The sequence below is a fragment of the Homo sapiens genome, chromosome 9 (assembly GCF_000001405.40).
Source record: "Homo sapiens chromosome 9, GRCh38.p14 Primary Assembly".
NCBI classification, from domain to species: Eukaryota; Metazoa; Chordata; class Mammalia; order Primates; family Hominidae; genus Homo; species Homo sapiens.
Genome location: NC_000009.12, coordinates 89,806,386 through 89,832,965, shown reverse-complemented (window position 1 = coordinate 89,832,965; position 26,580 = coordinate 89,806,386). Strand labels below are relative to the sequence as shown.

Below are 26,580 nucleotides of genomic sequence, written 5' to 3'. Positions count from 1 at the left end.
TACATGGGTGAATTATACAGTAGTGAATTCTGAGATTTTAGTGTACCCATCACCCAAGTAGTGTACATTGTACCTAATATGTAGATTTTTTTCATCCCTACCCCTTCTCCCACCCTTCCCCTTCTGAGTTTCTAAAGTCCATTATATTACTCTGTATGTCTTTGTGTATTCATAGCTTAGCTCCCACTTATAAGTGAGAACATATGGTTTTTGATTTTCCCCTCCTGTGTTACTTCACTTGGAACAATGGCCTCCAGCTCCATCCAAGTTGCCGCAAAAGAAGTTATTCTGTTCCTTTTTATGGCTGAGTAGTGTTCCATGGTGTATATAGGCCACATTTTTTTATCCACTCATTAGTCAATGGGCACTTAGGTTGGTTCCACATCTTTTGTGATTGTGAATTGTGCTGCAAATGTCTTTTTCGTATAATGACTTCTTTTCCTTTCAGTAGATACCCAGTAGTGGGATTGCTGGATTGAACGGTAGATCTACTTTTAGCTCTTTAAGGAATCTCCATACTGTTTCCCATAGAAGTTGTACTAATTTACATTCCCATCAGCAGTGTATAAGCTATCCCTTTTCCCCACATCCTCGCCAACATCTATTATTTTTTGACGTTTTAATAATGGCCATTCTTGCAGGAGTAAGGTGGTATTTATCTCATTGGGGTTTTCAATTACTAAACATTTTCTTTACCAGTTTGGTGGCCATTTGTATATCTTCTTTTGAGAAATGTTCATTCATGTCTTTTGCCCACTTTTTGATGGAATTGTTTATTTTTTTCTTGCTGATTTGCTTGAGTTCCTTGTAGATTCTGGATGCTAGTTCTTTGTCATATGTGTAGTTTCCAAATACTTCCTCCCATTCTGTGGGCTATCTGTTTACTCTGAGTATTATTTCTTTTGCTGTGCAGAAGCTTTTTGGTTTAATTAGGTCCCCCATGAGCTTTTAAAAGTACCAGAAGCATAATCAATGAAAGAAAAAAGATATATTAAATTATATTAAAATTTAAAACTTCTCTGTGAGACACTGCTAACAACAAAAAATAAGCCATGAATTAAAAGAAAACAGTAAAATATATCTTGTGAAAGCCTCATATCCAAAAATAGTTTAAAAGCTCTTAAAATTCAGCAATAAAAAAAAACAAACTACCCATTTAAAAATCAGTAAAAAATCTGAAGAGACAGCTCACCAAAGAAGATATACAAATGGCAAATAAGCCTATGGAAAAATTATAAACATAACTTGTCATCAGGGAATTAATTGCAAAATAAAACAATAATAAGATACTACCACATACCTATTAGAATAGCTAAAATCCAGAAAACTAACAATACCACACACTGGTGACAATGTGGAGCAACAGGAACTCTCATTCATTGCTGCTGGGGATACAAAATGGTATAGCGACTTTGGAAGACAGTTTGACAATCTCTAGAAAGCTAAACATAGTTTTATTAGTCTATTCAGGCTACCATAACAAAATACCACTGACTTAAATAACAGAAATTTATTTTTTCATGGTTCCAGAGATTGGAAGTCTCAAAGATGAATGTTCTGGTATGGCCCCTCTTTCTAGCTTACAGAAAAACATGCACTCACACGGCCTTTTCTCTGTGTGTGATTGAAGAGAGATCTCTGGTGCCTCTTCCTCTACTTATAAGGACACTAGTCTTAACAGATTAGGACACACATTTAACCCTAATTACCCTCCTACAGGCCCTTTCTCTAAATACAGTCACATTGGAGGTTAGGGCTTCAACACATACATTTGGGGGGAAAGTAATTCAGTCTATAACAATAGTCTGAAGATGTAATCCAATAATCACATATCTAAGTATTTACTTATATAAATACAAAAACCTGCACATGAATGTTTATAGCAGCTTTATTCATAATCACCAAAACTGAAAGCCACTAGGATGCCCTTCAATTGTTGAGTCGATAAATAAACTGTGGTACATCTGTACAATGAAATACTACTTAGTGATAAAAAGACATAACCCATCAAGCCAAGAGAAGACATGGATAAATCTTAAGTGCATATTGCTAAGTGAAAGAAGCCAATCTGAAAAAGTTACATAATGTATTACTGCAGTTACATGAAGTTTTGGAAAAGGTAAAAAATATAGCAACAATTACAAGATCAGTGGTTGCCAGGGGCTGAGGAGGAGGGGAGGAGGGTTGACTAGGTGAACACAAGGGATCTTTTAGCATGCTAAAACTATTTTGTATGGTACTGGAGTAATTGTAGAGACATGACACTAAGCATTTGTGGAAATCCATAGAACTTTGTGGCAAAAAAAAAAAATAGTGAATCTTAATGTAGGAAAATATTTTTTAAATCATATAGCAAGTTGGGGTTTCCAGGATGAAATGCAGAATGTGACAAAATAATCAAACTCTATCAAAAATGTGTAAAATAACCTCACTTAACTAGACAGAGGGGAAACGTGCTGACCTAAGTAACTTTGGAAATGAGTGGAGCATATACAACTAGAGGCAAAGAAGCTGTACATAAGCACTGTATGCTAGTTGATAGAGTTTTCACCATGGGAGGGAGTGAACAGTTCTAATCCTGCTATCCATTTGTACTGGAACTGAACCACTAAGTAAATGGATGGAGGATGGTAAAAGCCAAGTTTCTTAGTGTTGGAGTGGGCATTTACACAAAGCAAGGGGAGGAGGCTAGAATAGTCCATGTGGTGGCAGATCAGAGACAGAAGCATCAGTATGACAATTTCAGTAATAGGGTTCTAGTTGCAAGTGCCAGAAACCAACTATAGCTGATTTAAAGCAACAATCTTTACTTTCCACTCCATCACCCCCACAACAAAACCTAGCAACTTATAGACATTGGATAGTGATATAGTTTTGCTGTGTCCCCACCCAAATCTCATCTTGAATTGTAGCATCTCCCATAATCCCCACATGTTGTGGGAGGGACCCAATGGGAGGTAATTGAATCATGGGGGTGGTTTTTCCCATGCTGTTCTCGTGATAGTGAATAAGTCTCATGCAATCTGATGGTTTTATAAAGGGCAGTTCCCCTGCATATGCTCTCTTGCCTGCCTCCACGTAAGACATGCCTTTCTCCTCCTTTGCCTTCCACCATGATTGTGAGGCCTCCCCAGCCATATGAACTGTGAATCCATTAAACCTCTTTTTCTTTATACATCACCCAGGCTCAGGTATTTCTTCATAGCAGTATGAAGATGGACTAATAGAGATAGCTAATAGTATTTCTGAAAAATCTGGAGAACTTGGAACAACTGAATTAGCAGAAAGGAAGGAAGTCGGGGCAGAGCTCACCACCGCCAAAAGTAACTCCTGAGGAAGGTTGGCAAGAGAACATAGCTGCTGTCACTGCTAAAGTCTGGATGCTGCTCTTGTGATCCTGCCTCTGTCGGCTGAGCTCCTGCTGCCTCTGGACTCGGGCATGGCTCCTACTGCTGCTGGGGTGGATCCCCTGTTCTCTCTGCTTCTTAATATTGCCAGCTCCCCATTCAAACCCTAGGAATATCTTATCTTTGGCCAATACTTTAGCAGCAAGATAAGCTGGAAAACTGATTATACTTTTCAGTACCTACATGGGGTGGGAGAATCTGCCTCCCACTAAGGATTATACAGTGGAAAATGCCTCAAACATACAGAAGTGATGCAATGCGGGAGCCAAGAGCCTGATGAATGTCCACTACCTTAGCAAATACTCACCAAATCAAAGCGAGCAGAGTAATTTTACTCTCAGACACAATAGACATCGAAGCAAAGGAGTGGTAAGAAATCACTACTTAATGATTAAAAAAAAATTTCCAGGAGTGCTTAATACTCCTCCTTTTGTGAATAGCTAACAGCATACTGTCCCTCTCCAAATTAACATAATTTCAAAAAGAAGGTAAAAAATAGGCAATCATATTAAGAAGTTGTATTAGATGCAAGATAAAGTAGACCAAAAAAAATAGTTGAGATTCAGTTTTGAACACTGTAAAATATGTTGGTCTAGCAGACATATGCAGAACTCTGACCTAACAAGTTGGAAATGCATGTTCTTGTCAAATGTACATGGAATGTTTTCTAAAACAGACCATTCACTAGGCCACAAAAGAAGTCTCAACCCATACTCCATAGCCAATATCATGAAGATCATATTCTCTGCCTATAAGACAATGAAATTAGAAATCAATAACAATAACAATAAAATAACCAAAAATATGCAGGTCTGCTGATTTCCAACTTAAGCAGCTCCCTTCTCCATTCCCAAGTAGAAGCATGGAGAAACTTCCACAGCTCACACCTGAAGCTGGGACCTAGGGTACAGCGGAGTGGAGGATGCAGCCCATGCCATCTCTCTAGGTGTAAACAAGCCGCACTGTCATTTCCCACTTACTCAAGCTTCCCCAGCTGTATGCAAGTCCCTCCTTAGGCGGTCACCTCCCAGAGACCCAAAGGAAATTGTGGTCCACACTTCCGGAGCCTCCACTTTCATTTACCCTCACCTACAGTATTTTTTTTTTTTTTGAGACAGAGTCTCGCTCTGTCGCCCAGGCTGGAGTGCAGCAGCACAATCTTGGCTCACTGCATCCTTCGCCTCCTGTGTTCAAGTGATTCTTCTGCCTCAGCCTCCTGAGTAGCTGGGATTATAGGCACCCGCCACCACACCAGGCTAATTTTTGTATTTTTAGTAGAGACAGGGTTTCACCATGTTGGTTAGGCTGGTCTCGAACTCCTGACCTCGTGATCCACCTGCTTTGGCCTCCCAAAGTGCTGGGATTACAGGCGTGAGCCACCGCACCCGGCCACCTACAGTATTTTTATCCAGAGAGAACAGAGCCAGGAAACACACCTCTGACCACTGGCTCTTCTTCCTTCTCCTCAGGCTGTCCTTCTGGAATCAGGCCTGTCTGATTCTTCCTTTTACCAAGTGGAAGCTTCTTTATGTCATAGCCTTCCTCTCTCTTCAGTGACTTTGCATGAAACTATTCTCTGCTTCCCCAGTAAATAACTTACAACTAAAGTTTAATGTGTAAGGGTTGAAAGAATATATGATTAATGATAGGAATAAAAAATATTCATGTTGTCAAAATGTATCTACATTACACATATCTATACTAGACAGGGACAAAAGTCAACACATGAAAATGGAGGAGCAAAAGATGAGAGGAAGCAAAGGTAAACTAATTTGCTCATTCTTTTTAGTGGGAATTTAATGAATACTGTTATTGTGGATAACAATGATAATTCAAAATTTAAACACTTAGACATTATTTAAATATGTAAGGATAACAAAAGTGAAAAAGAAAGTCTCCTAAATCACCAAAAGGAAATGAAAGTGAATGTTAAAAAAAACACATAACAAAAGACAGAAAGCAAAGAAAGTGGCTAAAAAGACATTTTAAAATAAACAATGAGTATAAGATAAAATTAAGACCAAATTGTTGTCAATAAACGTGAAATAAATTCATTTGCTTAAAGTAAAAGATGCTCGGATTTGATTAATAAACAAAGCTCAGCTACATGTTACAAAATGAAACATACATAAAACAATGCTAAGAGAAAAAATGTATTAGTCATTCACATTTGTATTACCAAACAAAAATTAATAATTTTTATATGATTGATCAATAATTCTTCCCCAGAATAGAATACTACTTAGGTACACATGTATTTTAAGTATCTACCTCAAAAGAAATAGAAAACTTAATAAATCAATAACCATGGATGAAATTGAAGAGGCTATTAAAAAGCTACTCTGACTCAAAGACACCTTATTCAGATAGTCTTATGCATAAAATTTTGAAAACATTCAAGGAAGAAATAATTCCAACATATAAACTTTTCTAGAACACAAGGAAGAAAGAAAGTTTTAGATGATTTTTTGAAGGCCAGCACAACACAGAGACTAAAATTTAACTAATATGAAACAGAAATCAGATCAGCCTTATATAAGAAAGCAGTAATAAGGTTTTAATTATATTTGCTAATATAATTATATATAATATGATGTACAGCTAATATATTAGCAAATATAATTCAGCAGTGTGTAAGAAGGAGAATACACTATGACCAAGCTGAGTTCATTCCAGAAATGCAAAACTGGTTCCATGTTAAGAAATCGGTTTATGTAATGCATTGTATTGGCCAGGGTTCAGCTACAAAAAACAAAGCCTTCTCTAGCTAGCTTAGCGCATGATGGGATTAATGACAGGGTATTGAGGGGTTCACAGAAGCAGAGGCAGGACTGGAGAAACAGATGTTGGATGAGGTTTGGGGAACAGCTCCCAAAGCCATATCTCTGAATCGGGCCAGCAAGGGTGCTCCTGCCCCCTCTGCAGCCAGAAAGCCTCTGGCCCCAGTAGCACACTGCCACCACAGAGACGGAGACACTGCCATCACCAAGATGGAGACACTGCCACTTAGAAGCTGCCTCCAGTAGAAAGCCACAAGGATAAGAACATGGTCTGACAGGACAGACACTGTGCTCCACGGTGCAATCCCCTCACTGAGACCAAGTGAAGGAGTGCTGTGCGTGCTGCTTGTGAGTATTTGGGGCACCGTAGACTGGACGCTGCTCTGATCATCCCTTTACAGACAGGCAACACCTCCACCACCTTGCTTGTCGAAGCACCAGCAGATGCAGCGGGAGTGCAGCCTTCCAGCACTCTGCCTTCCAAATCTCAGGCTGCGGCATCTGATGGTCCAAACTTAAATCAAATCCAGAAGCCTCACTAGAAAGGACTCTCAGAGGCGTGTGTTTTGTCTTTCCCATCTCTGATATAGAGGTGGGTAGCGTGGATGCCGAGCACTGAGTTATTACATCCATTCCCAGCTACCCTGCAGCTTCTCCCAACGCTCATATCCCATTCCCCCAACAATCACACTTCCAAACAACAGCAACAGCAGTCTGCTCCTCCTACCTGAATGCGATTCTCTTCAAATGAAAGGAAACACACTCCGTGATGCAGTTTGTGTCTGTGTCCCCACCCAAATCTCATGTTGAATTGTAATCCCCAATGTTGAAGGTGGGGCCTGGTAAGAAGTGACTGGATCATGGGAGTGGTTTGTCATTGTTTCACACCATTCCCCTTAGTGTTGTCATGGCAATAGTGAGTGAGTGAGTTATCCCAATATCTCATTGTTTAAAAGGGCGTAGTACCTCCCCTGTCTCTCTCTTCCTTTGGCTCGGGCCACATAAGATGAACCTGCCTCCCCTTCACCTTCCACCATGGTTGTAAGTTTCCTGAGCCCCACCCCTGCCACCAGCCATACAGCCTGTAGAACTGTGAGCCAATTAAACATTTTTCTTTATAAATTATCCAGTCTCAGGTTATTTCTTTATAGCAGTATGAGAACAGACTAACACACCCACCCCCTCCCCAGAAGAGAAGACCCAAGTTCCATCATTGATGTGATGCTCCTATCTCACCTAGCTCCATACAAATTCAAGACTGAAGTCCTGTAATAATCTAAAGGCTAAATTATAATGACAGCCACCAATAGCATACCCTAAATGTTTAAAAAATATAGGAGGAAATTTGGTTAGCAGATATAAATATAAACCATATAACAAGGGAATGTGTATATGAAACAGTCCTAATTTCCACAATTTATCATGAGGCCAACGTCGTGATATATACACGTGTGTGAGCACGTGCGTGCACATGCGTGTAGAGAGAGAGAGAGAATAAGTTGATGTATTTATTAGTTTATATATATCATGTGAAGCCTCTAATATTGCTCCACAGAGAGCTCAGTCACACATGCACATGACACTCATGGCCATATGCAGTCAGTCTGCAGTGACAGTGTTTTCTTCTTCTTGGTGGTGGTGGTGGTGTTGTTTTTGATGGAGTCTCATTTTATTGCCCAGGCTGGCCTGCAGTGGTGCAATCTCGGCTCACTGTAACCTCTGCCTTCTGGGTTCAAGCGATTCTCCTGCCTCAGCCTCCCAAGTAGCTGGGATTACAAGCATGTGCCACCACGCCTGGCCAATTTTTTGTATTTTTAGTAGAGACGGGGTTTCACCATGTTGGCTAGTCTGGTCTCGAACTCCTGACCTTAAGTGATCTGCCCGCCTCGGCCTCCCAAATTGCTGGGGTTACAGGCATGAGCCACTGTGCCCAGCCAACAAGGGTTTTAAAAAACTTTCTTGGAATACCTTTTTCTCTGAGCTCTGTGTTAAGCTGTATGCCTTTGTTGACATCACATGCAGGTCTTCAGAGTCCATTAATTACCAGTTGACTGCTGTATTGTTTTTGACAACACTTTGGTGGCATGAATTGTCTCACAATCTGGTCTAATTAAATTTAGGGTCCTTTGTGGGCCAGTCTCTGGGGTACGTTCTGGCTGAAAGAGGGTTCCTCTTAGCTGTCTATTTTTCTTGTAAACTAGCTGGCCTATAATTCAGTTTCTTACTCCTCTGGCCCTTCTAGCCTCCTCTTAATTTCTTACCACCAAAATCTCCACTGTTTTCAAGAGCACTCTTAAGTTCGAAACTTTTCACACTGTTCTAAAGTCAGTTTCTTCTGGAAGAGTTTTAGAGCTCTCTCTTATTGATTGCCTCTCCCTCTGGGCAAAATCCCTGAGTAGCCACTGCCCCAGGTGAGAGGTGGGGACAGTGGCCCAGTTCTCTTGTTGCCACACCCTGCTGCACAAGCCAGGTGCTGGGTAGGAGTGATAGCTTCTGGTCTGCTGGGCTTGCTTCTCTTGGGGTGGAACTTCCACCCTGCCAGCGAGGCAGGGTGAGGGGGGTTGCCATCTGAGTATTCACAGCCTGCCATGCCTGAGGTGGAGACTTTTCCCTATAAGTAGGGGCTGGGTGTAAGAAGGGACCTCCCCGCCCCCACTTCTCAGCTGCACTCACTTGGAAGTTAGCCTCTACAACATGGATTTGAGGGAGAATGAGAAATGCTAGTAGCCTCTTTCTCCTGGGCATATATCTTAGTTCTTGACTTGGCACTAGGGAGAGAGGGAGCCCCATCTTCCATCTCACAGCTACCAGGAGTGAACCATCCATCACCCTGAGCAAAAGGCAGGAGGGGGAGAAGGAAGTCATGGTACTAGTGCCCCAGACTCTCAACATTCTGACCAAGACTAGATTTTTTGTATTCCACTGGACAATTTCCAGAGACTTAAATTGGGAGCTGCTTTTAAAAAAATCATTCTTAACAGTATTAGTTGTTTATCTGGAAAAAGGAGCATAGAGTTTCACATTGCCATTTGATAGTAGCAGGTTTCATGCAGTTCCCATTGTTGGTGTTTATATCTTCCTTTTTCCATTGCATAGTCTGTGGTCCCTTTACACCTACCCAGCTCCTCAGCTGGTCAGTATTCTTCTTCTGTGGTAGAAAACTTTTATTTCTAATGGCTTTGAGCCCTTGAAAGTCCTACCTATTTTGATTTTCTGCAGTCTCCCATTGACCTTGATCACTAGAGTTGGCAGTAAAAGGAGAGGCTCCCCTGATCACGTCTGCCTGCCACCATTGTGTAGTAGCAATCCAATTTACGTTTCATTCAGAGGATCCGTCACTCTAGCCAAAAGAGTAACCACCTGCATTTTACCTTTTGATTCAATTGAATGAGAAACCCAAAATGGCAGGCTCTAGGCATAATGGTGAATGATGCCACTCCCACTTCCTCCCCTTGGCTACAGGAAAAGTCATTCTGGTTACAAGAGAGCCAGGCCCATGTGCTTGTTGCTGGTACTAAGCACATTCCCTTCCTGCTGGACAGTATCTCAGTGTAGCGTGGTGTTGCCATCCACACGATGTTGTCATGAATCCTCAGTGGACCACTTGGCTACTCTATAGAGCCAGATGTTTCTGGTTTATGGGTACATTGTAAGACCAGAGAATCCAAATTGCCTCACCTCTTTCACTTTAAAATTTGTCTCTTAGCCATAAACAATATTGCATGGAACAACATGACCATGAAAAAAGTATTCTGTTAGTCCATGCATGGTTCTTGAGGCAGAAACAGAGCAGACATTGTAGGAAATTCCATAAAAGAAATAAATGTCTCTCCCACTAAAAAAGCATCACGAAGTTGCCCATGATGGACAGAGTCTAATATAATTGACCTACCATCATGTGGTCAGTAGGTCTTCTAGGGAACGAAGCCATACTGGGGGCTCACCATAGTTGCTGCTGGTAGAAGAGTCATTGCCCAAGAGTGGAAGAAATTAGAAAAGCCCTACTACTGGGAGGTTCACATTGCTGAGTTTATGCCACGGAAGTATTTGTGTTCATAAGCCTCCTATGACTGGGGAAAGGAACCAACTCCCATGTTCAGAATAGGGTAGGCTTTGCACTTATCCTTCAAGTCTTTCTAGGCTCTAATTGGCTGAATGTTAGCATCACATGGGAAGATTTTAGGAGTGGCCAATGCCCAGGACACAGCTCAGACTGGCTATATAAGAATTTCTGGTCCGGGTGCAGTGGCTCACATCTGTAATCCCAACACTTTGGGATGCCGAGGCAGGTGGATCACCTGAGGTCAGGAGTTTGAGACCAGCCTGGCCAACATGGTGAAACCCCGTCTCTACTAAAAACACAAAAATTAGCTGGGCTTCTTGGTGGGTGGCTGTAGTCCCAGCTACTTGGGAGTCTGGGGCAGGAGAATCACTTGAACCCAGGAGGCAGAAGTTGCAGTGAGACAAGATCACACCATTGCACTCCAGCCTGGGCTACAAGAGCAAAATTCAGTCTCAAAAAAAAAAAAGGATTTGGGGATGGGGCCCAGGCAGCAGTCATGTTTAAAACCTTTCAGGTGATCCCAATACACAGCCAGAGTTGCAGAAACACAGGGTTAGCTGTGGACATAGAGAGCATGAGAGGTTGTCAGGGTCAGGTAGAAACTACCCCAAGAAAGTGATTACAGGGTGCAAGAGGTGCAGATCGGTGAGAACTGAGGCCTCCAAAGTCAGCAGGGCTCCATCCATGCTTGGAGGTTCCAACAACGGTAGCACATCGAAGTCCACTCCATTCTCAGGGTGCTGCTTTTTCCAAAGGAGTAGAATAGACAGCACAGAAACAAAATAAAAAGTAGAGGAAGACGGTGTGCTTGGGGAGCCATGGCAAGACGGACTCCGAACCTTCTCACAACACCTGTTCAACCACATCGAAGAAAATAACTTGTCCCCTCATGCACTTTCATTTACCAAAATAAACTCCAATTAAAACAAAGATTTGTAAGTAAAAGCAATAAATGTAGTAGATTAAAATACCAGTGTTGTTTTATTTTTATTTTGTAATCATGGAGTGGAGAATATGTTTAGAATTATAAACTGAAACCCAAAATCCACAAAGGGAAATATTTGTGAATTTAATAACATGGATATTAAAGACCTTTGTATGCCCAAAATATCACCATAAACAAAGATTAAAAGTAAAACAGATTGTTTAAAAATATTTGTACTCATTTAACAAAGTATTAATTTCCTTGTCAAAGAAATTATCATGAATCAGGAGAATTAAAATACTGACCATTTTTAATAAGGAAATTAGCAAGGAATTTTGACAAACAAATCATGGGAAAAGGGTAGATGGTCAATACACAGATGAAGATGTATTCAGCATCAACTGTTGGCTAGGCGAGCACCGTCCGTCTCACATTCCATGCATAGCAGTGGTTGCAGCCACAGGTCTTGGGGAGAACGTGCCTGGGTGTGAACTGCGGCTCTGCCGTTGTGATGGCAAACATCCTGAGCTGCAAACAGTCCTGCCATGAAAAGAAGAAGCACTCTCAGTGGTGAGATGGAGACCACCTGCGCCAGAAGCATTGTGCTTCTGAGGGGCCTGGGCAGGAAGAACAAGTCCTCACATTTCCTGACAAGAAATGACCCATCTCTCAGGAAGACTTGAGTTTCTCCTCCCAGGACAGCCACTTCAGTTACAAGGATTGAACAGTATGTAAGATCGATAAGAAAATGAATGCAAGGCCATTCCACTTGTAGGAAAAAAGGGCTCCGAGGCCAGAAGATTGCCTAAGTGGGCCTGGAGGTCCTTTCCCAGGGGGACCTTTTTCTTTCTTAAAGGAAGCCCACCCCACCTAGGCAAGGTCTGCCCACAACCCAGGCTCCCAGACATGCTGTCCTCCTCCCCCAAACCGTGAGCTTGTGTGTGGAGATGCTCTCAGAGAAGGACCAGCAATTAATTAGAGTTGTTCAGCCTGGTGAGAATGCCAGCACAAACTCTTCCTGGAAATAGATTTTATTTAGGGAAAATCAACTCAGAAATGACATCAAGATGGTAAAACAAGCATATTGACCTCCTTTCCTTCCATATCCCTTAAAATGACAGAACACATCACACACCTGCACACACATGCTCACACCTACACATACATTAATGCATCACATATTCCTACACACACCCACATACACTCACACCTACACACATCACACACTGCTTTACATACACTCACACCTACACACATCACACACTGCTTCACATACACTCACACCTACACACATCACACACTGCTTTATATACACTCACACTTATACACACTGTCTCACATTCACACATACACACACACTCCTAATACATACTCATACACACCTATGCACATTCACACATGCCTGCCTGCATACATACACACTCACATGCACATACACTCACGTCCATACGGTCATAGCTAAATATCTTGGGTGGCTTCTCCCACAGAACCTGTTAAGCTTTTCCAGCAAGTTTTCTTTATGTAAACACTTCTTTAATATTTTTACTTTATTTTATGAAGTTTATACATATACATGGTATTTTTTTAAAAACAGGGAAAGCTCTAAAATATTGCTGAGAGGAATTAAAGACCAGAATAAATGGAGGAATATACCCAGATTCTTGGGACAGAAGATTTAATATTGCTAACATGACAATTCTCCCAAAATCAAACTGTGTGGATTCAACACAATCCCAATGAAAATCCCAACAGGCTATATTGTAGAAATTGGCAAGCTGATTCTAAAATTTATATGGAAATGCAAATTGTCTAAATTAGCCGATCAGGTATGAAGAAGAAGAACAAAGTTGGAGGACTAATATTATCTGGTTTTAAGACTTATTATAAAGCGACAGTAATCAAGACAGTGTGATATTGGCATCAAAGCAGATAGACCAATGGAACAGAACAGAGTTCAGAAGGAAATTCACACACACAGACAACTAAGCCTCAACAACGGCAACTGCAAAGTAGGTCATTGGAGAAAGGATAGTTTTCAACAAATGGTGCTGGAACAATTGAATATCCATATGTGTGCACACACACAAATGAGCTTCTATCTGCTCCATACCTGGAACTACATGAAAAAATCAGCTCAAAATGAGTGACAGACCTAAGTTTAAAACCTAAAACGATAACACTTCCAGGAGAAAACATTTGTGACCTTGGATATCAGGTTAACAAATTGGATTTCATCAGAATTAAAACTCTCTTTTTCAAAAGACACTGTTAAAAGAATGACAGTGAAATGAGGAACTCAGAACTCGATAACAAGAAAAACAAACAGCTCCACACAAAATATGGTCAAAATTCCATAAAGCACAGTATGGGAATGGAAGGGGTTCAATAGCTTTACAGTGGAATAAGCTGACAAACACTCTCTCACCAGGAGATGAAGGTCAACATCAGCAGAGATAAGTCGTGTTGATAGTATGTGACCTTGATGTTATGTGATGAGAATGGCACTTTATCTCTGTGGTCTCCTCCCCAAAACCCGTAACCTCTAGTCTATTTGATACAACCCTCCATCAGAGTTGGGCAGGCATCTGGAAGCTTCAGAGGGAGAAGGAAGTGACACCTACAGATGGCTGTAGGTCTTTTAAAACTCCACCAAAGACAAGAAGAAAATATACTTGAAAAATACATCGGTCGGGCATGGTGGCTCATGCCTGTAATCCCAGCACTTTAGGAGGCTGAGGTGGGTGGATCACCTGAGGTCAGGAGTTCAAGACCAGCTTGGCCAACCTGGTGAAACTCCGTCTCTACTAAAAGTACAAAAATTAGCCAGGCGTGGTAGTGGGTGCCTGTAATCTCATCTACTCGAGAGGCTGGCAGGCAGAGGTTGCAGTGAGCTGAGATCTCACCACTCCACTCCAGCTTGGGTGACAAAAGTGAGACCCAGGAAAGAAAAGAAAGAAGAAAGAAAGAAAGAGAGAGAGGGAGGGAAGGAAGGAAGGAAGGAAGGAAGGAAGGAAGGAAGGAAGGAAGGAAGGAAGGAAGGAAGGAAAGAAAGAAAGAAGGAAGGAAGAAAGAAAGATACATCAAGAAGGGGTTAGCTGAAACATAAAATATTTTTCACCATCACCGCAGCTTACAAGATTCTCATGGCCGGGTGCAGTGGCTCACGCCTGTAATCCAAGCACTTTGGGAGGCCGAGGAGGGCGGATCATGAGGTCAGGAGATTGAGACCATCCTGGCTAACTCAGTGAAACCCCATCTCTACTAAAAATAAAAAAAATTAAAAAATTAGCCGGGCGTGGTGGCAGGCGCCTACAGTCCCAGCTACTCGGGAGGCTGAGGCAGGAGAATCGCTTGAACCTGGGAGGCAGAGGTTGCAGTGAGGGGAGATCATGCCACTGCACTCCAGCCTGGGCAAGAGAGCGAGACTCCGTCTCAAAAACAAACAAACAAACAAAAAATAGATTCTCATCACATAACGTGAAGACTTATCTCTCTTGATGTTGACTGTCCGCCATGACTTATCTCTGTTGATGTTGACCTTCATCTTCTGGGTGAGGAAGTTGGTTAACCTATGAAATTTACTAAAGCATAGTCTCCCAATTTGATCAATCCTATCTAAGAGCAGAAGAGAAGAGCAGCAGTCTTCTTAGAGTCCCATCTATGTCTAAATCCCATGGCAGTCTAAACATATGAAAACCAGGAAAGGCCTTCTAGGAGGCGTGGCCAGGTGTTCCTGGAGGTTGAAAAGGGCTGTGGATTTGCAGGTCCATCTTCATCTGAAGGGTTGCTAGAGAATCTATATTTTGGAGAAATTGTAAAAACTAAGTTCTAGAGATATAGTGAAAAAAAATTAGAAATTCAACTACCAGCTCTATGCAAGACATTTCAGGCTTTTCCACTATTAGTCTTGATTTCTTCTTGTGATTCAAAACCACATTTCTGATGTCTGCAGGCAGCCGACACTGGGACGGCCCACCCTCGTCTCAGGCACGTGTTCCACCCTGGCCTCAAAGTTGGCTCCAGGCCCACCGGCCAGCCACCCCTCCCCTGTGTCATCCCTCTAGGTTCTTGCTCAGGAAAAGCCTGTTATCTCTAAAGCCAGTTCCTCCTCCTTCCTTCTGTTTCCACATTAAGCTCTGGCCTTGATTTCTTTGGAAGGTATTCCCAGATCACCCTCCCTCTGCATTCCCAAGCATCATCAAGGCCACCCCTGCCAGACTGCATGCTTTTAAAGCCTTGCTCTGATAAGCCCCCAATGCTCCTGGCAGACCCCACCTCCTGTGTGCCTGCCATGTCGCTTTCAGGGACCTCTGCTGTGTGCCACCATCAAGTCGAGCATTACGTACGCACAAACCCAGTGTCCACTCTGAATGGCGTCTCCCCAGACTCCCCTCCCGGGCACCCTGTCCAGAAAGCCTGGCATCCTGATTGCTGCCACCTCTGCCCACAGCACGTTTTGGCCCACGTGACTGCTTGCTGATGATGATCCTCCTGTCTGCTCTGTTTTTCCTCCTCCCTGCTCCCCTTATTTAAGCTTCCTAGCCTGCAGGGCCCAGCTTGGATTTCAGCCTAGGCATCTTCCCATTCCTGGAAGCCTAACACAGTTTCACCCAAGCTCAGAATTTGGTAGTAGGGGCCTTTAAATGCCATTCTTTTGACATAAGGTTGTGCTTACATTTCATGATGGACAAGGAAGGGAGATATTTTTATTACCCTGTTTTACAGGAGAGGAAACTGAGGGTCAGAGTGGTTCAGTGACTTGCTCAAGGGGCACCTCAGAAGCTGTGGATTAAGTATTCCAACCCCGATCTCTGAGCTTGTATGCTCATAACTTTTCATCAACCTAGTGTTTGTGCCTACAGTTCCCTGGGGGTCGTAGTAGAAGAAAGAAGCTGGAAGGGAGGCAGGCCACCCTTTGCGCCACGCTCCCAACCTTGCCTGTCTGTTTAATGTTGGCCTTTCATGATGTTGTTTGAACAGAGACAAGCTTAAAAGCTATGGCTGTGGGCCCTGCTACTGAATGATGTGGGGGTCGGGACCACATCTCTCTCCTAATCTCAAAGTGCAAAGCACTGCCCAGAGCACAAAGTGGGTACCACGTACCTGCTCATAGGGTTGTCATTTAAGCTGAAAATTGGGCAGAGAAAGGATGACATTCTCAGGAACTCACACCTAAAAACCTCGTCAGTGATATGTAGTGGTTTTCAACATGCCCCGAACTCCCTGGCTCTCACTCATGAGAGGTGCAGTCTATCTCCCTGCTGCTCCTTGCATCTGGGCTCCATGACTTGTCTACAAATAGAACATGGTGAGGGCGGGGCACCATGCCAATTTCTGAGCAGGTCCAGACTTTAGGAAAGAACAGCTTCCACATCCTGTCTCCTAGATGTGCTCTTGGAGCCCAGTTTCATGCTGAGGGGAAGCCACAGCTCCCACCAATCCCACCACAGAGAGCAGCAGCTTGCTCGCACCATCCTGGAAGTGGATCTGCCCATCCCGTCTAGTGGACACAGCAGGCAAGGGGCTAGCAGGGAGAGCTGTTCAGGCTGAGTCCTGCCCAAGCTGCAGATTCCTGGGCAAAATAACTGATTAATATTGTTTTAAGCCACTAAAGTTTGGGGTGGTTTGTCACATGGCCATAGATCATCAGAGCAGATGTCACTGGCAACAGAACAGAGAAGTGAGAGGAAAGAAAGGCCGGGGAATTTCCAGCTGTGTCGCTCAGCTCGGCTGCCAGACTCATCACCAGGGACTGGGTGGCTTCGACGGCAGGCAGTCACTTCTCACAGTGCAGGAGGCCGGGGGGCCAGGGTGGGTACCAGCAGATCTGGTGTGTGGTGGGGAGTGGCTTCCTAGCTTGGAGACGGCCATCTCCTCCCAATGCCCCTCTGTACCTGTCTATGACCAAATCTCCCCTTCTTACAGGCAGTCCAGCCAGATTGGCTTACAGCCCACTCTAACAGTCTTGTTTTAACTCAGTTACCTCTGCTAAGACCCTATGTCCAAATAGGGTCACATCCTGAGGTGCTGGAGGTTAGGACTTCAGCAGATCCTTTCTGAGAGGGCACTGTTCGGCCTGTACCACTGGGATGGATGAGGAGTGAGAGCAGCTTTTAGCACTCTCATATGAACGCATAAATAGAGCGCCTCCTAATGTGGCAGGTGCCCCTCTAGGGAGGAGATTTACGAGCTCAGCTTGGCTTGTTTTCTAGAGCCACCTCTCTGAGGGCAGAACCTGCAGCTCACACAGGCCTGGGATCTCCATGGACACGAAGGTGCCCAAGACTGTGACCTCCCTGAGAAGAAACAGGCCCTGCCACTTACCCTGTTGGCATTCTGACATCACAAGACAGCTGACCATTTTATTGAGCACTTAATACACAGTACCTGCTGCAGTGGCTTTACATAGATGCCTGTGTAATCCTTGCAGCAACACTGGACAGAGGGATGAGATTTGATGCCCGTTCTGCCAGCAGGGAGACAGGCACAGTAGGATCCTCTGGCTAATGAGGGACAGGGCCAGGCTGCAAGCCCAGAGGCAGTACAGCTTAGAGACCCTGCCCTTAGCAGCCACACGGTGCTGCCCATGGGGCCTGAGAATGTGCATTTCTAACAATGCTGATATTCCTGATCCAGGGACCCCAGTTAGAACCAGTTGTAACCCCCCATTAAAGTCTCCTTTCTCCATTCTCTCACGTTCAGGACGTTGTTCTTAAATGTCACAACAAGGAAAGCAGGGAAAGCGGACTTTAGGTAAGTCAGCCTCTCTCCAACGCAGTGCTCCCAGGCCATGTCTCCTGGTGGCCGGATGGATGGCTTCCGTGGACACAGGAGCACTCATAGTGAATAATGGCCCCGGCAGAGCAGCGGCTTCCTGAGACTGATGATCTCATCAGCCCAGACATGAAGGGCTGCCCCAGCTTTCCAGGAACTGCTCTTTTCTGCTCACATAAAAATAGCCATTTCTCATAAACTATTTAGTGGGGCTCGGATCACATCAGGAACCATTAGTGAAATGGGAGCTTTGTTGTTGGTTAGAGGAAGTAGATGGAAGGGAAGAATCAAAGCCAAAGTCACATTTCCCTCATTATATTTCAGGGAAAGGAGACATATTAGCTCTTGATCAGCCAGTGTGAACTAAGAGCCCAGCTGGGAGCAGAGAGGATGAGCTGAGTGCAGGGCTGTCTTCTGCCCCTAGCTGGCTGGCACCAGGCTGCAGGCGGGGACTGGAGTGCACAGTACTCCATTCCCCATCACCCCATCAGGCTGAGACCAGCCTGTTCTCTGCCTTCCCTCTGAAATTCTACATTGCAAGCAGGTGATTCTCTGCTCAGTTTAGTCTGGCTGTGGTATCGCCAGAACACCAGTGAGTTTCCCATTTCTACATCCTGTCCTACACGGTGTTCTAAAAGCACTCTGAAAAAAAAAAAAAAAAAAAAAAAAAAAAAGCCTGATCCTCAGCATCGGATTTGCAAGGGGAGCTCCCTAGAAGCTCTAGGACTTACAGCATTGTGTGCTTGCAAATTTGGAAGGTTTTTTAGAAATTAAATGTGGACACATAAATTGCATCAACAGGCTGTGTGTGTGTGCATGCACACACCTCTTACGTGGCTTCTTTTGAAAGGGTTTTCAAGCATTCTTTCCAAATGTTAATGCTGCTATGTCCACTACGCCCAGGCCCCAGCATTCAGGTTTAAAAAATGGATTTCCACTGTTTTATTTGCTTATTTAGACAGGCTTTTTTGTTTCACACTCACACTATGCATGAGCGCCTCTTAAATATAAAAATTTAGTCCACCTCAATCTTTCCCTTTTTTTTTTTCAGGCCCCCAGGAAACAATGTTGCTGAGATCATCCAGGACTCAAATCAGGTAAGGGGTAAAAGGACTCTCAACTCTCCATCTAAAATACATCTAAACTTCATTAGGTGATAATATTTGAGGCTTCTTCCAAGAACTTCAAGCTAATCTTAGGTGTCATCAGAGAATGTGGACATCTTTGCTGAGATGTGAAATGTATGCAAGCCCTTAAACCCACAGTGGTTCCTGCCACATGGTACCACGCTGTTCACTAAGTCTGCGGCAGCCTCCCCTGTAAAGCTGGTGCCTGCTATCAGGTGCTGTGGCAGTTCAAGGAGAGGACCAGCCCTTGTGCACCATCACATCCTGATGCATTAACGCAGGTGGTAGTTCTGCCTTTTGATCTCAAGTCCAAGCAGGAAGGAGGCGTGAGGGCCATGCCTCTCAATGGCGGAGAATACTGAGTGTATTCTTTAGGGTCCACCAGAGAAACAGAACCAGTGGGTGTGTAAACACAGGGAAAGAAGAGCTGGGTCACATGAGTAGGAAGGCTGACACTTCCCCAGATCTGCTGTTTTCAAGGTGGAAATCCCTTCAAACTTCCAGACTGAAGTCTGGCAAGCTTGAGACTCAAGAAATTGATGTTCAGTTTGAGTCCGAAGACAGGGGAAGATCCACGTCTCAGATCATGCAGTCAGGTGGATATTCCCTCTTACTCAGCCATTTTGCTCTCTTTAGGATCTCTGTGAGCTGGATGAGGTCTCGTCCTTGGGGAGGCCCCCTGCTTTACTAAGTCCACCAATTCAAATGCCAGTGTCATCCAGAAACACCCTACGCACATGCCCAGAATAATGTTTGGCTAAATATCTGGGTACCCTGTGGCCCAGCCAAGTTGAAACACGAAATTAACCATCATACAAGGTATGTGAGAGGTCACGGGATGCCCCCAGATGCAATGCCCTGGGCAGGGCTGGGGGGTTCACTGGGCGTCTGAGTGGCAGCAGGATCTACAGGTGGTATACACTCTGCTAAGGGAGCAGCTTCACCTGTCAAAGCTCCTGGCCCCAGGCAGTTCCCAGGAGCTGCAGCCATACCGCCATGGTCACCTTACCCCGGCACAGCCACGTGCATTCAAACTTTCCAGACCATTCCCTCAAGACTGCCCTGGAGCTTGTGTGACCAGGTACTGCTCTGAGCTGTGTTTCCACCTGATGTAGCTGTGGTTCAAGGCAGTGTTGGCTCGTGGGGCTCAGCCACACCTTGGAGGTCAGAGGTCAGCTCCACCAGCCACCTGGCCACCTGCCATCCACATGCCAGGGTAGTTGTACCCCCGTAACCCACACGCTCAGCAGCCACTTCTCCAAATGTGCCAGTCTTAATGGAACACAAAACACTGATGGCCTGGATTGGGCTTGGGAGACTTCTCTGTGACTCTGCATAAATGTATTCCAGCCTCTTACAAGATTTGGAAGGCTTGAGGTTCAAAACATTTTCTCCCTAGTTCTTTCTCAGCACTAACTTTTCAGGGCCCTTCCCTACATTTCACCTGGACCCTGAGGAAGTCAGCACCCCAGGCCAAGTGAGGCTTCAACCTCCTGTCCAGTTGTGGAGCAGAATGTACCCCACAAAAGGGACATCCGTATCTGGAAGGTTCCGTGGCTTCCCCGGGCTTGAGAAGCTTCATCTCCAGTGGAGATGGTTGAGAGAGGTAGTGAGGGGCTTCTTTCAGGCTTTGTGTGCAGAGAAAGCCTCTCATCCACCAAGATGAACGTTCAGACGGGTTACACCATCTGCAGCAAGCCTGTTGCAAGAAAGCATCCGTCTGGCTCCTGCAGCGCACATAGCAGTCTGCATAGTGAGCCTGGGTGCAGGTGGGCATGGGGGCTGCGGTGCTGAGCCCAGCCTCCATTCCCCCCTACAGCTGGGCTCCTGGAGGTGGGGGCACCGTCCTCCCGCACAGCAGAGTCACAGGATGTGTGTTTGATTTCTACCCCCTGTTATCTGAAGGGTTTTATGTCTACTTTCTCTGTGGGTGTTTCTTCTCAGCATTAGAGACAAAAAGCAAAAGTAGCCACACCTCATGGCTGGAAAGAGACAGAGATTGTCAAGCCTGGCCCAGGGCTCCCCACCTGGGACTCCACAGGTTCCCCATCCCCGGCCCTCCTCCCCACCCCACCATCTCTTCTTCATTCTACCTTCTCCACCCCCATCCCCTCCTCCTCCCCACCCCAGCTCACCTCCCCTACCTCCCCCTCTCTTTGCTCCCAGCCCTCCTCCCTGGCCCCAATTCCCCTATCCCACCCTGCACCTGGAGAGGAAGGTGGCTCTGTGCCCACACCTCATACCTGGGGAGGGGATCCCTGGCTGTTGCCAGGCCAGCCTTGCCCGCACTCTGGAAAGGGGCAATCCAGCATGTTCTCTGCAGCTGCCTGGACATATCTGCTATCTGTGGTCCATTACCCTGGTGACAGGGCCACCCAGCTTCTGCAGTGACGGCCCCTGACTACCCTCCCACATGAAGCCCTCTTCCCCTGCCAGGGCTGCAGCTCCCTCGAAGCCTAGAACTGTCCATCCCCATGTCTGTACTTCCAGCCCCCAGACCTGAAACCAACCTTGAAGTTCCTCCCCTGCTCAGCTCCTCCTCACTGCTGGCCACCATCCCAGGGGCACCAGCCACTTTCTTGAGGCCAAACCCCTGTGCTGCCACCCCTAACTTCACCTTTTGCTGCTGAGAGGTGCCTCCCCAAAAAAAGGAATGGTCAGGCTCCAGGACAAATTTCCTGGAAGATGGACAAACAAGGGCTCTTTGAAATGTTTTAGGTGGCAGTCCATCCAGATGAAAAACAAACTCAATCTCCAAACTTCACTGAGCCCCTCTGATGAGGCCCAGTGCCAGAAGGGAGCAAAAGTGTGTTCAAGACCACACCTATGAAGTGCGGGGCAGCACCAGGCTCCGGATTCCTGCATCCAGACATCTCTGTTACTTTCTAACAAAGCAACAGGTCTCCATAGGATTCAAACTCAGGTCTGCAGCTACAGCAAGCAGGGAACCCCTCATTTGGCAGGAGATGCTCAATGTGACTGAATGGATGAACTTCCTTCTCTGGATCACCCAGGGATGGCCCCATGCATTTGTGGATTTAGCTTCCAGACTCCTGCTGTCCTGCCCTCATGCATGGCTGATGATTTGAGCTACTGATTAACACTTTTTAAAGTCAAATTTCTCGGCACATGTCAGGGTGGGAAATTCTATCTGTCCTCCATATGCCGGGCATCATTCCACAGCAGCTGGTTGGGAAGGAAAGCTTAATCTCTCGGAACCTGCATAATATCTTTATAAAGGTACAGCTGGGCGAATGTCATAAAAATGTTCAGTTGTGGGTGCTGGGATATCAGATGCCTTGCGTGCCTCTTCACTGCCAGGACACACTCCAGGAAAACCCCTGGTGTGCTTGAGGCCACATGACACACAGAGAATGCAGGCAGCAACGCTTTGCCTTGGAAAGCTGAAGCATTTTCTATCTTAATCCCGGAAAAAAAAATTAAAAAACAACTGCCTTGAGAATGTGATGGATACTGCCCCTACACCTGGGTGTTTAGCCGAGATTTATTTAGAGTTTAGGAAAAGTCACTTGAATGATGAGGGCTTTTGTTCATCCCTTCATTTCTCTGAGTGACTATGGAACTCATATATCTGTGTTTTCCCACTAGGGTTGTCTATCCCTGCCATTTGTTTTTTCTTTGTTATTTCTACAGAGGCAGGGCTGACTCTTGCCTTAAACACTTTTGACGAATATCCCTGGAGCTAAAACCAGGGGCGCAAAAGCCACACCCAGGAACCAAGCTCCTGCTGCCTGCTTGGGTAACCATCAAGTTCATTTTGCTCCCTGAATTCCTGCCATGCACTGGGTTCATGCATTGTTCTTTGCAAACATATGAGATGGGGTTATGCTCAGGCACATGGGCAATCAGCACCCACTAGATATGACAGGTGAATCTATTATCTGCTCCGCATAACACATTCCCCAACACTCATAGCTTAAAACAATAGTCTTTTATCACCTCTCACAGTTCCTATGGGTCAGGAATTGGGACAGGGAGTGGCAGGATGGCCTGTCTTTGCTCCATGGTATCTGGTCCCTCCACTGGGGGACTCAAAGCAGAGACAGGAACCATCTGAAGGATGTTTCCTTGTAGATCTGGTGGCCCATGCTTGTTGTCAGTTTTTGGCTGGAATGCCCACATGTGGCCTCTCCTTGTGCCCTGGGCTTCCTCAGAAGATAGCAGCTGGGTTTTAAGAGCAAGTGTCTTAAGAGTGAGAGAGACAAGAGACCAAAGCAGAAACTAATGACTTTGATGATCTGGTTACAAAAGGCACACACCACCACCTCTGCCATATTGTATTGATTCAAACAATGACAAAGGCCTGCCTAGGTCCAAAAAAAGGGAACACAGCACCCCGCACCCAGTGGAGGATGGGCTTTAGATAGGTATGATCATCTTTGGAAAATACAGTCTACCACAATGGCAGACAAGCAGAGCCGGCTGTCCAATCGATCTCCTGCAATCAACACTATGCAGCTGCAGTGTCCGTCACCCTTGCTTAATGTCTCTCCAAAGCCCAATTCTATGTCAAGACAGTCTCTGTGATTCTATTCAGTAAAGACTGCTTCACCTGAGACCTCTCTTGAGATTGCTTTTTTGTGCTTCTCTAAGATTAATATCCGGAATTTAAAAAAAGGAAGAAAAATAGCCAGTGCCTTCAATATCCCCCTTCTCTGAATCATTACCGATTGGGCTAATGACTGCTGATAGTAAACTGGAATTCCTCTGAGCGCTGTACTGAGTAATCGCTGGCTTATTGTTTCACTGTGCTCAAGGTCTGCGTGGTGGAAATGGCTCATCACAAAGACGCATCACCCACGGAGAGAGGCCGCACTGCACAAGGGCCTGCCTGAGGCAGCTACCTCTGCAGCCAATGGGAGCTCGACCTGGAGCTGAGCTGCTCCCAATGACCATCCTCCGTGTTTCTCCAGACATTCTAATGGTCGCCGTCTCAGTGGGGCATGTACTGGGTATGGGGTATGGGGTAAGTGGGCTGCCGTGATCTAAGCCCCCAGTCATGCCTCTGCAATGTTCCCTGCGTGATGGGCATGGCCCAACCAATCCAAAAAAACCAGGCCCTGGGTGATGAGGCTTTTCTGTCTACCCACTAATTACAGTTTTTAGTGAGCTGTGTCTGGCCACAATTTCAAAATTCCATTCTGACAGCCTACACTATGGTCTCCAGCACGGGAGTCCTTTACCGCGCATCAGCGTGCGGGATCAGGTAACACAGACAGATAGATCAAGGCTGTTGACAGTCTTTAATGAAGTGGCAGGGGCTGGAGCCGGACGGCTCATCTCCAGGTCTTTGTCTTGTATGGTGCAGGCCGCACTGGAGACGCAGTTGGTGGATCACAGAGGCATAACCCTGGGCACACAAACACTCAAATGACCTGACTCTCCTGGTTCTACAGAAGCAAACCTGCGAGACTCAACGGCTGACAGCACAGTGCAAGGGAGGATTTATGCCTTCTTTCCGGCAGATTCTTATTTGCCTTGAAGAATCCAACAGAGGGCCACTGCCTGGAGGAACCCACATGCTGTCAGGCATTAATCAACTGCAGAAAACCCACCAAGGACACTCTGTTGCAAGTGGACAGCTTTGAACTCCAGCTGCCACAGCTGGGGGAACATTTGATAGTGAAAAACAATAAACAGCAGGGGAGGGAAGGTCATCTGGCTGAGAATATTTAAGAACGTTCCCCTAGAGGCAGTAGCAGAAAACACATTTACATCTGATTGTCTCTCTTCCTGAATGGTCAGTTTCTGCCTGATGCTGACTAGGTACAGAAATACAGGCAAGCAGAATCCAGAACCCCAGGGTTGGGCGAAAACACTCTGTTTTTTAAAGGACTTTGAACAACAATGAGAGACAAAGAATTCCCCATGGCTATTCTGCCAGGAAGTGACCCACCAGTGAAGGTTGCAGAAAAAAAAACACCCAGGGCTCAAGACCACGGAGGGAGATTTTCAGGGCCTGAGCCTCACTTGCTTCAGGTTTACTGATGCTCTTGGGGCTGGGGAAATGCTGAGGTCATCCAGGGGTAACTGGATTGAACCACCACTCTGTGCACACATTAAGGTAGTGAACTGCACAGTGCCATTTCTACCAGGTGGTACTGGCTTTTTTTTTTCTCTGGCCCTACTGCTTTCTTTGTGGAGTCTTCACCAAACCACCCCTTCCTAAATCCAATTCACTAAATGTTGCAAGGGGTATAAACATAAAGACCTGCCCTCCTCTGCCCACAAAAGCAGTCCATAAGAGAAGAAGGATGTGCATTTACTTGTGACTAGTGTTCTAACACAGATATAAACACAGTTCAGAAGAAACTTGCAGAGAAGAAAATAAATTCCCCGGGGACAGACAAGGCCACACTAAACTCTGTGCCAAATGCCACATGGTCCCTGATCCTAGAATGCTGGACTCATCAAGATCTTATAGATAGATGTCTATCAGTGACAGTGTTTTCTCTTAACGTTAGTATTTAGTGTCACTATCAAATATTTTAACCTTGGAAGACCTGTAAGTGACCTGACAAAGGGCATTTGAAGGTATACTTTATGACCAAGGATGCTTGACCCGGAGGAAGCCCCCGCACGAGGGTACATCTCCTCACTTGGGCTTCCCATGGGTTCTGATTCAATGAGGAGCACCAGGTCAGGACTGAGACATGGTCACATTGAGGCCAAAAGGATGCCATGCCACCCTGACACTGCCATGCAGACTTTAGGTCCAATTCTCGGCTTAAGGCTCACTTCTTCACAAGTGCGTCTCAATTCAGACACCAGCCATGAACTCAGGGTCCACAGACCGCCTACACTTCTGCCCAGCTAGTAACAAATTCCCATCAGGGTTAATCATATGCTGGGTTCCCATCAGGTTTAATCACATACTGGAATGACTCACAGAAGTCAGGAGAGCTCTATACTCACAATTCTAAGGGATACATCTCAGGACCATGCAAGCAATGTGAGACACAGAGGGTGAGATTTAGGAGGGTTCCAAATATGGATGAAGTTTTCATGTCCTCAGGATATGTCACTGTCCTGGCACATGGATGTATGACCAACCAGGGAAGCTCAGCTGAACTTCAGGTGTCCAGAGTGCCTATTGGGGTCTCAGTATGTAGGCTTCATTGATTCAATGGCTATGGGATTGAACTCAATCTCCAGCCACATCCCCTCCCCGAGGCCAGACTTATAGGGGCTCAGAGCCCCAACTCTCTAGTCACATGTTGATCTTTCTGGTGTGACCAGCCCCCATCCCGAGTCTTCCTGTTAGCATGAATTCTGGTGTGGTCACAGGGGCCTACCATGAGTAACAAAGACATCCTATCACTCAGGAAATACCAAGGATTTAGAGGGTCCTTCCCAGGAACCGGAGACAAAGGCCAGCCAAATGCTCTATTGTACAATAAAGTCCAAGTCTCAACCTCAGAGTCTCTCACATGAAAGTCTTCTGCCACTCCCTCTGGTTCTTCACTCTTCTGAGACCAAGAAG

General features: G+C 45.4%; 1 long non-coding RNA gene across 1 annotated transcript, besides 4 other annotated features; it reads right to left on the bottom strand.

Annotated features, from left to right (window-relative positions):
- Nucleotides 4,304–4,383: an enhancer, noted in NCBI's record as "active region_28561". NCBI's record gives its function as "activates an Ori minimal core promoter by ATAC-STARR-seq in GM12878 lymphoblastoid cells {active_cell/tissue: GM12878}" and the evidence as "EXISTENCE:reporter gene assay evidence [ECO:0000049][PMID:35858748]".
- Nucleotides 4,554–4,623: an enhancer, noted in NCBI's record as "active region_28560". NCBI's record gives its function as "activates an Ori minimal core promoter by ATAC-STARR-seq in GM12878 lymphoblastoid cells {active_cell/tissue: GM12878}" and the evidence as "EXISTENCE:reporter gene assay evidence [ECO:0000049][PMID:35858748]".
- On the bottom strand, nt 11,468–15,123 carry LOC101927823 (uncharacterized). Its single transcript, NR_188443.1, has 2 exons — nt 15,042–15,123; nt 11,468–11,715 (listed from the first exon to the last, which is right to left on the bottom strand). It is a non-coding gene; the product is annotated as an uncharacterized LOC101927823 (long non-coding RNA).
- Nucleotides 16,755–16,854: an enhancer, noted in NCBI's record as "active region_28559". NCBI's record gives its function as "activates an Ori minimal core promoter by ATAC-STARR-seq in GM12878 lymphoblastoid cells {active_cell/tissue: GM12878}" and the evidence as "EXISTENCE:reporter gene assay evidence [ECO:0000049][PMID:35858748]".
- Nucleotides 16,905–17,014: an enhancer, noted in NCBI's record as "active region_28558". NCBI's record gives its function as "activates an Ori minimal core promoter by ATAC-STARR-seq in GM12878 lymphoblastoid cells {active_cell/tissue: GM12878}" and the evidence as "EXISTENCE:reporter gene assay evidence [ECO:0000049][PMID:35858748]".